This window comes from Homo sapiens, chromosome 3 (assembly GCF_000001405.40).
Source record: "Homo sapiens chromosome 3, GRCh38.p14 Primary Assembly".
In the NCBI taxonomy this organism is placed as follows: domain Eukaryota; kingdom Metazoa; phylum Chordata; class Mammalia; order Primates; family Hominidae; genus Homo; species Homo sapiens.
Window position 1 is genome coordinate 191,389,927 of NC_000003.12, and position 10,801 is coordinate 191,400,727.

General features: G+C 36.9%; 1 protein-coding gene across 2 annotated transcripts in view; it reads left to right on the plus strand.

Annotated features, from left to right (window-relative positions):
• The window catches only part of CCDC50 (coiled-coil domain containing 50), a 69,266-nt gene extending 60,533 nt beyond the window's left edge, over positions 1-8,733 (plus strand). For both annotated transcript variants that reach the window (NM_178335.3, NM_174908.4), the window contains one exon: positions 1,815-8,733. In NM_178335.3, coding sequence (NP_848018.1) covers positions 1,815-1,834 — 20 coding nt within the window. In that variant the 3' untranslated portion in view covers positions 1,835-8,733. The remainder of the gene's footprint in view (positions 1-1,814) is intronic.

Consider the following 10,801-nt stretch of genomic DNA (forward strand, 5'->3'; position numbering starts at 1 on the left):
CTTGGCTCTCTACAGCCTCCACCACCTGGGTTCAAGTGATCCTTCCATCTCAGCCTCCCAAGTAGCTGGGATTACAGACATGTGCCACCACACTTGGCTAATTTCTGTATTTTTTTTGTAGAGATGAGGTTTTACCATGTCACCCCAGGCTGGACTCAAGTAATCCCTCTGCCTCTGCCTCCCAAAGTGCTGGGATTATAGGCATGAGCCACCGCACCCAGCTCTTTCATCAGATTCTTAAAAGGTGGTGGTGACCTCCATTTAGATCTGTAGGACTGCATTTTCTGTAGTGGCTCTTGTTTCCTATCTGCCCATGACTCTTATTAATTAGATTTAAAATATGCATGCACACCTCCCACATAACTGTTATGCAAAAGAAAAATGGAACAAAGCATAAAGAAAAAATAGGGATACCTCAATTGGACGAAACCTTTAAAATTTGTTTCCAGAAAAGGGTCCCGATTCAGACTCCAAGAAGAAGGTTCGAATAAAGAATGGCTGCTCAGCAGTGTGGGCTGCTGGTTGCCCATTTTTATGGTTATTTGATTATATGCTGATTAATACAAGGGGTATATTATTCATGAGTTTTCTGGGAAAGGGGTGGGCAAATCCTGGAACTGAGGGTTCCTCCCCTTTATAGACCTTATAGGGTAACTTCTGATGTTCCCATGGCATCTGTAACCTGTCATGGCTCTGGTGGGAGTGTCTTTTAGCATGCTAATGCATTATAGTTAGCATATAATGAGCAGTGAGGACAACCAGAGTTCAGATTTGTCACCCTCTTGGTTTTGGCCAGGTTCTTTACCAAAGCCTGTTTTATCAGCAAGGTCTTCATGACCTGTGTGTTGTGCCAACCCCTTATCTCATCCAGTGACCTAGAATGCCTAACCTCCTGGGAATGGAGTCCAGTAGGTCTCAGGCTTATTTTATCCAGCCCCTATTAAAGATGGAGTCTCTCTGGTTCAAACGCCTCTGACAGAGGAACGTATTTGCTCTTGCAAGGATCTGCGTTCACTTATGTACATTTTTATGAGAGCTGTAAAATGAAATGGTGAAAAGGTAGTTTCTCATATTAACTTCCTCATCTGCAAAATGGAGGCAGTCTAAATAGAAAGTGTCAGAGTTGTCAGGATCATAAAAGATTAAATATGTGAAAGAATTTTGCACAGTGCAGTAGACTTTGCAAATATATTATATCTCATTAATTGATGCTGTTTATTTGTTATGATTTTTGAAGACTTAGGTGATATTGTTATTCATTTCCAAGTCAATAATAATGTCCCCAAATATCTTTAAATAACATTTTCTGCTGTCATTTAAAAATACCATCGCAAAAATGACACTCTAGACTACTTCAATCAGAATCTCTGGATGGGGGTTGTCAAGCATTTGCATTTTTAAGAAGCTCCCCCACCCCCACATTCTGACTCACATCCAATACTGAGAAAAAGACAAAAGGCATTATTTTAAAAGTAAGGTTAGTTGGACATTATAAACATCTTCATCAACACATCCCACCTCAACTTCCATCAGTTGGTGGCATTTTCACTGTTCCCGATTTAACGAAGTAGCTCATATTTTTCTTTCTCAAACTACATGTATCACCTTTTGGGGAGTACCTTACTGTCTTTGACATACATTTGATGCATAATACTAAACTAACACATTGATTCTGTATATATGTCACAATCAAGAATAAAGTACTATTAGAAATGTATAGAAATAAAGTTATTTTACTTGGGCAGGGAGAAAAAGCTGTTTGAGTTTCAAAGGTTTTTCCTTAATTGTGTTTCCTTTTTTCTTCCCCTCCCCAGGTTTTCATTACAAACATTAAAAACCTAGGAATCTGCCTTGAAAATGGACTCACTATAGCAAATATTACTGGGTGATACAGAATGAATTCTACACTTACTTTTTTTCTCCTGTGTTTGCATTCCTGGGATTTATCCTCAAGTGCATTTCTGACCATAAGTAATTTTAATTCATTTCAAATGTTTTGGTTATTCATGATCACTTGGGCAGTATAAGAAAATGTAGCTTCTGAATATTGGCCACCTCTATGCTGCATATACTTCTTGGGATATAGTATCTAAGACCTTTGTAAACTGCCATTTTGTTAGGTATGGAGTTTGGTATCTAGGGAGTAGGCCTTATTTAGCAATTCAAATTTTATGGAGATGAATGATCAAAGTGAAACAATGTTTGGATGCAACGCAGAATAAAAGAATATAAGAAATAGCTTTTTGTTGCATTAATGTATGATATTTTGAAGGACAGAGCCTTTGCTTTTTGTATTCTTTAAGAAAAGCACAACCATAAAGTATTTTAAAAAAAGAAACACTTGGAGCAATTGAAATATGTTATTCTGACTAGATGGACTGTAGAGGTTTTGCATTTCTCAGCCCTCCTGGGGAGATTGGCCTAGATAGCATTCTTTAACACTTCCTCTGCTTTTGCCTCAGTAGCAAGGCTTTCCTAAGCTCCTGGGCAATGGAACATTTATTAGTATTTATTGACAAAAATTTAGTTCTCTGAAATTTTAACTCATATATATGAAAAACTTTGTATTCCATCTCTTCTTTTTCATTTACTTGTAGAGCCAAGGAAATGGAATTGAAAGATGATTGCATAAGTAATGATGCCATCCTTCTCTCTGGCTGTAGACTGAGGCTTTTCTCTTGCTTCAAGTCAGAGCAGTATTTGTTGATAACCTCTCAATAATGTTTGGTTTACATGCCAGTAATTAAATTAATTCAACATGAAGTTGAATTTGATGAAGTGGTCATCTATCCAAGTATTTGGTTTTTGTTTTGTTTTGTTTTGTTTTTTGAGTTGGAGTCTCGCCCTGTCACACAGGCTGGAGTGCAGTGGTGCAATCTTGGCTCACTGCAACCTCCGCCACCTGGGCTGGAGCAATTCCCCTGCCTCAGCCTCCCAAGTAGCTGGAATTACAGGCATGTGTCACCACACCCGGCTAATTTTTGTATTTTTAGTAAAGAGCGGGTTTCACCATGTTGGCCAGGCTGGTCTCGAACCCCTGACCTCAAGTGATCCACCTGCCTTGGCCTCCCAAGGTGCTGGGATTACAGGCTTAAGCCACCATGTCCAGCCAGCCAAGTATTTGGTTTTAAACATTTGTATTCCTTTGTGCAAGGGATTGTATTCCTCTGTACAAGACCTTTAAGCACCTCTTCAAGAAATTTAGTCTTTGTGTAGCTGCTAACCTTACTGCAATATTTATTTTCCCTTATTTTCCCATACTACTTAGTTGACAAATGGCAATCAAGCTCACTTGTTCTCCCTCTCTCTGTCTCCCCCCCATGTACACATATATATATCCCTTCAGCTTGACTTGCTATTATTTTTCATTGTATAAATATGAAATTCTTGGCATTTCAATATGGCATTTGTTTAGGGAAAAAATATGTAGGTCACTAGAGAAAAATGTTAATTTTTTTCCCACTGTGAATTGCCTTCTGTTTGCCTTATCTTTTCAGATAGTCTTTAAAGTTGGGCAATATTCAGGCAGCTATTTAGAACAGTTTCTCAGAGTGGATTTGGGTCTCTCATTTGAGAAAGATTTGTAGTTTCAATGAAGTTTGTATATTATAGGAATTTAAGTAAAATCATCTGAGTTAAGTTTTGGGCAAATGTTAATCAGAAAGATAATCTACATCCCTACTTTATGTAGTCATTTTGGAGAAATGGAGGAAAAGGAAAATAACAGGACTTTTTATAGCTGTGATAAAATGGGTAAAGAAAAACCTCCATTTAAATAAGGAAGGGGAGACAAAATGGAAGGTCCTGGCCTTAAGTCAAATTCCAGATAGTGCTTTCAATATCCAAAGCTTAGGCCTTGTTTACTTATAGTAATGCTATATTTTTCTTTATCTGCCCTGTGATTTCGCTTCGTGTCCTTCAAAGTTTTTTTATTGTAATTTTAAAGGAAAAAAACAATGTATTTTTATTTGATAACTAGGCAAAATCATTTGCCATTTTTTATTTCATAAATATTTATTTTTCTATCTCATACAATGATCAGTTTTACTTTAAAAATTCTGCATTTCTCTTGCCTCTCATGTACTTCATCCAGTTATTTATTATTGTAAAATGTTAACTGGAGATACTGCATTCAAAAAAAAGTCGGACCACTTAACACTTACCAGGAATGTTAGTGTTTCAGCTGTTTTAGTAAGTGACCAAGTAAGCTATCACCTTGTGATAGCTAATTCAACATCTTTATTGAAAATTTGTTACTTTTTTTAAAGGTTTTTAAAAGATTACAATTTTAAAATATTTTATGTTTATTTTATTTTTGTGTAAAGCAAACACTTTTAAAATAATATCAGAGTAATTATTACCCTATGAATAAGGAGATAGAAATGAAATTCAGCCAGTTAAATCCTCATACTCTTTCTCATTCAAATAATATAATAATGTTTGAGACTATAGAAGCAACTCAACTGTATTTTAATGAACTGCCAGACACTTTTCACTGTGTTCTCTGCTTTTTACTTTGTCATTTTTATATAAATGTGAAAGCATTTTGTTGTTGTTGTTGTTGTTCCTGCTGCTAGAACACATGCAGTTTAATTTTTAGGCCCACAGTGTATTATGCTTTAATGTTGTGATGTAAACTAATACTTCTGGCCTGGGAAAACCTTTCTGTTTCTGTATCTTTGTCCTTTGGAGGCCAGGCCTCATTAACACCAGTATTGTTGAATAAGCACAATATATGACGGAGCCTTATCATAAGGCTGCTTGACATAGACACCCACTCTCCTCCACATTTTATAAATCATTGTTTGGAAGTAAAGTTAGATAAGAGTCAAATTAAATGTTTTGACTTGAAAAATATTTGACTTTTGCGTTCAAACCACTGTTAGACGTAAGTATTTTATTAGACATAAGTATTTTATTTTGGGACTAGACAGTTGCTTTACATGTATTTAAGGGAACATTGTGATTTTCAGAAAGTGGCTTTACATACTATTGAATTGCTATTTCCCAAGTTACTTTACAACCAGCAGCAGCATACCAATAAATTACAAAAGCAGAAAATGAAAATTAACCCTAGGTGTTCTGATGATAGAGAAATAGCTAAATTAGAAAAGAAAGATATGGATAGATGCTTTTAGGAGGAAAACCTTTTTAGAATGGCAATGACCACTTGGATCTAGGTCAACATATTCCAAAATGTGTGACCTTGGGCTTTGTGTTTACTGAACTCACTCTAGAAAATTCTGGACCTGATTCATTAACCCCGCTTTTCTTCTCTAATGTGTCCTGAAGCTGAGCTAGATGATGAGTAAATTCTTTGCTGACTGTTGCTCATCACTTTCTCTCAAAGTTAGAACTTTTCAGTATAAAAATAATTAGCTTTTAACTGATTATTAATTTTCTTTAATAGTTTCTGTCAAAACTTGTCTAAAATTTGTGTTGTGCCAAATTGGAAATACCCACTATAATATGGTGCATTCAGTTTACTCCACAAGTGGTTAACATTTTAAGTCCTAGATTTTTTATGTCTTGCCTTTGTATAAGCATCGCTTTGGGGAATACCAAGATGATTCATTATTCAGTGATTATTTTCTTGAAAGATAACTATGATGATTGGCTGTAAAATCTTCACCCTAATAAAGGAGTGAGATCTCTGTGTAAACAGCTTTCTGAAGGACTGATAATAGAATAGAACTTGCAGCCAAAGGCTTTTTCCCTTTTGAGAAGACGGTATTTGTGTAAGGAGTGCTAAGGTAGACTTCATTGTACATAGAGTGCCATATTCTGTTGAAACGATCATAACAAAATCAAAACCTCATGCTTCAGCAAAAAGGAAAAAAGATTTTTAAATTACTTTGTCTATTACTTACTGCTCATAGAGAAGTGACTATATAAAATGGTCCAATTTTCTCATTTCTGGTGGTGCCTGTGAGTCTTAAAGCCATATCTGCTTATCTTACTGTTGATAGAATACTTTTTTTCTTTTTAGCCCATGATAAGTAATATGGGCAGGTAGAAGCAAACTGGAGACTGTCCTGTTAATGCTGCATGGGGCACAATGTCTTTCAAATTATTGGTGGAAGAATCTCTTTTATCCATGGCGAGAGGTAAGAATATTAAAGAGTCAGGATATTGTTGCTCCTGGTATTTAACAACTGTCATTAGAAATGCTGAAATTTAATTGTAGAGAAGTCAAGAAAGAAAGAGTAAACTGAGAAAATCTTACTACTACAGAGTCACTTTTACAATGAGACCTGCACTTTATGCCAGCACTGTTTGTGAGGAGCAGTACTGCCTTAAATTAGTTTGACTCTGACTGATGTCAGTGTACGTTACTTCCTTTATGTGACTGACAGTCAGCTTTCCATTGAGATATAACATTCACAGATGATCCCCAAGTATCCTTGTCATCAGAAGCTTTGGACCTTTTCTGCCACTGACTTGTGGCTGATCTGTAACACAATAAATACATAATTTTATTTCATGTTGTCTGTCCACCTCTGAATAAGCAGTGGCATGACCAAAAAGACTGGTAGAAGGAGAGAATTTCTTGGCCAAATCCTTCATACCAGGTACCACTTCTTGAGTAACTGAGAGTTGACTGTCTTCTATGGTGACTACATAGAAGATATTTCCAAAGGTTCTGTTATGCAGTGAAGACATTCAGATTATTTGTAAGAATTTCACCAACACCCTTGTGTATTGAAATGCTTAACCATTAACAGGGAAAAAAAAGGAGAAAACCGAACAAAACAGAGACATTTACTTGAAATGGGAGGTTTGCTAATGTGAAGAGTGTTTCTGTTTTATTACTTATAAGAGAAAAGCAGGAAAACTTTTGCTTTGATAAGAAAGACACCAGAGTGGTGATTCTGTTTGATGCCACAGGCTAACACAATCGTGTAATCATGTTGAGTTGTAGAAATATATGGCCCTAAAAACCATTCTCTTTCCCTTATATATATAAATATGTGAACACTGCCTAGTAACATTTTAATAGATTTAAGATGCATTTGTACATTCTCAGCAAACTAGAAGAAAATGTTTTTTCTCTTTTTGAGTTAACTTCATAGCATAGAGAACCAGCACTGTGCAGGTTTCAGCATTTCAGATAAGGGCATAATTAATTGTGTAACTTAATGCCCTGTTATTCATTGCTGAGGTTCATATAAAGAATAGAAAAATTGAAAGATGGGTTTGGGCGACATTTTCTTCCCAAAAGATCAAGTAAGGAGTAAGAACAAGTAAGGGAAGACAGCTAAGAGAACATACTATGACATATCATAGAATTGGGATACATTTTTGTTGCACTGGATTTCAGGCTATACTGCTAAAATAATTTCTACCTGTTAAATTTTGTGAGAGGGTTTTTGACATCAGAATTTTTGTATTTCTGGTCAAATTGGTCTTGGAAATCCCTATGGTCTCTAATTTCAGCTCTTGCTGTAAACTGCAAGCCAAATGCTCTTTCTCAGAAAGAGCTATATTTTTCTCTTCTTACAGGCAACCCAATATTTATTTCATAAAGTGTTATAAATATTGAGAAGATACACTGGGGAGATAGCATATAAAAATGATGCTCCAAAATGAGAATTCTATATGGGGCTTTCCCTAAGAAGAATCCATCCCAGCACATATTTTGAAAAGGTGCTGAATTAAAAAGTACAAGAGTTTGCTCATATAAATCAAGTTGCCCAGGAAACCTGAGGTGATGCTATCATTTGTCTCATAATTTAGAAACGTGATCTCTTGAGAGAGAGACTACGCATTGCCTGGGCACTTTCAGATTCCTTAGGAAGTGCCCCTTTGATATTTGGAATGTGGATATATTTATAAAACAAATGGATTGTTATTCCAAATCCACATGGATTTATAACCAAGCCCCAGAAGAATAGGCAGCTTTGAAATAGCTAGTTCGTGGAATTGAACAGAACCTTGATGGAATGCAGTTGCCTGTGTGAGGACAGAAAACAAAGAGGCTGCCTCAGACCACATGCCTATCTAGAGATTAAGTGAATTTGTGAGGGACATTTTGTGGATGCCTTAAAGATGACCAGTGGTGGGTTCTGATGGGAATATATACACTCATCTGGACTAGGCCAATGGAAGCAGTCTCTTTCAGTTCACCTCCGTACAGCACAAGTTGTTCCTGCTCATGACCTCATTGAGGAAAATGAGAATTGTGGTGCTGGTGACTTTCATGTGTCTTGGGAGGTTGAGGTGTTCAACATCGTTAAGGCACTCCCAAAACGCAAACCTCCTTTTTTAAATGCCAATTGTACATCTACATTAATTCATCTATGCAAACTTGTGTTTTCATGGTTTGTTTTTTACACTATATTTCTCATTAGGTTCTTTAAACATCAGGTTTAATATTGATATTATGAATAATTTTTAAACCAAAGTATTCTATAAGTCTGTGTGCTTTGTTTTCCTGGATGGTTTGACCAAGGTAAACATCAGTCTTGTCCTTCTCTCTTAATAAAGTCATCCATTTGTTAAGTCAGTGGTCTCTGTCTCATGTTTTTGTTTTGTTTCTTTACAGCATTCAAGGACAGGGAAACTTACGAGAGTCTTATTATAATTATTATTATTTACAAAATGACCCTAATAGGTCTGTTTAGTAACAGTGAAATTTTTTCTTACTCCATTTCCATACACTTTCTGTAAATATGTATAACATGATAATGATGCCTGGTGTATTGAAATCCTCAATAAATACTGCCAAGTGTGGATCAGTTGGAGAAGTAGCTTTGTTTTGTGTGTGGTGTTTCGTGGTTTGATTGATATATTTGGGAGGAAAAAAAACAGGTAAGTGGATGTTCACACAATAATTCCAGTGATTAAAGACCCCATGCACAACTCTGCACTATACCTGACACCTTGTGGACACTTCAATGTATTTTGAGAAATGGATATTAATAACTGATTTATTCAATATTTTACCTTCATAAGAATTTTTTTTTTCTTATTTGGTTTGATAGAATAGCCACAATGTAGGAAATGATTCTGCAAAAATTAGGTATCTTAAATATAATATTTTCAATGACTACTAAATTTATTTTTAAAGATGTCACTATTTAGCCACCCCTACAGTAGATTCTCTAGGCCTCAGATTCCTCTGTGGCAAATATAGCAGGAAATCTAAATGATTTCTGTAGTCTCTGCTAGATCCTGAGTAGTACCAGTGATGTGCAGGTGATACTGTTTTATTTAGTTGAAGATTAGTATGTTGATTTCAACCTTTGGTCTCTAAATAAATACTAAAGTTGCCAGTGGAAAAAGTTGATGCATCTAGAAGCCAACTAAAAAATTAAATATGCAAGTAAAACAGATCCCTTTAATCTGTGGTAAGAGGTACTCAAGGTGATAGGGTGGTTTATGGGGAATATGACTTGAGTCTGATTGTCAGGCTATGGCCATGTGGCCATGTGAAAAGGTAGCATACAAGAAAGTTCCTTCTTTTTTTTTTTTTTTTTTTTTTTTTGAGATAGAGTCTTGCTCTGTCGCCCAGGCTGGAGTGCAGTGGCGCGATCTCGGCTCACTGCAAGCTCCGCCTCCCGGGTTCACGCCATTCTCCTGCCTCAGCCTCCCAAGTAGCTGGGACTACAGGTGCCCACCACCATGCCTGGCTAATTTTTTTGTATTTTTAGTAGAGATGGGTTTTCACCGTGTTAGCCAGGATGATCTCGATGTCCTGACCTCATGATCCGCCTGCCTCGGCCTCCCAAAGTGCTGGGATTGCAGGCATGAGCCACCGCGCCTGGCCAGTTCCTTCTTACAACAGCTAAGAGACCACTATCTACCTCGCACACCTTCGAAATTTGGTGAAACCTTTAAGAGGGTTTTGGACTACTACAAATCCTAGAACCATGGTTTCAAGACAATTTTGCCCCCATTTCAAGGGCAGGAAGACCAATGCCCCTCCTCCATTGTGTTTGGGTATCATGCTTAAATGAACGAACATAAACTAAAGGCTGCTGCGAAATCAGTGTACTAAAGAAATCTACAGGAATGAGATACGGGGTCCTAGTCCAGGTTTTGCTATGAGCTTGTTTCAGGACCTTGGGACATCATTTATCCTGCTGTACCTCAGTTCACTTGCCTGAAGCACTACTTCAAGTATAACATTTGAGGATTCCTGCGGTCAACGGCTGCTGGTTTCTTTTAAGATGTTGCCAGGAAGAGAGCAGCTTTATTCACTGCTGGGTCCTGTAAAATCACAAAGACTTCCTAGGCATTCCATCATGAAAGACAACCATGATCTTTTGTTCTTTACTGCAGTATTTTGCTACTTCTGTCTCCACATCCAGTAGATTGTCATTAACTTGTTATGTGTTTTTCTAACCAATACCCATCTCTATGTTTTATTCCCAAGGCTGAAATTTGAGCCTCTTTCCTCAAATGGTCTTCGGATGTTCTTGTAAATTAACTCCACTAGTATGTCTTGCATACCATACTTCCAGGACACACCCACTTTTCTTATCGATTCCTCAGCCTAATGATGCAAATTTGGTTTTGATCATGTAGATCATAACATACCCTTAAGTATGCCTGCCACTTTAAAGTATTTTGTGTCATTACCTGATCTTTGCCATCACTAGCAGTGCTCTTTGTGCCTAATCTTTTTGAAACCTTTCCTGCTGACCTGTCCATCCCTCATTCCCTCACATCCCTGACCAGGCTGCAGGGGCTCTCAAACACAGGTAAATCTGTCATTGACTCTATAAGGGTTTATGTATATATGAAAATGGACTTTTCTGGCCTGGACAGTACCAATTGGTGTATATCAGTTTTTTCT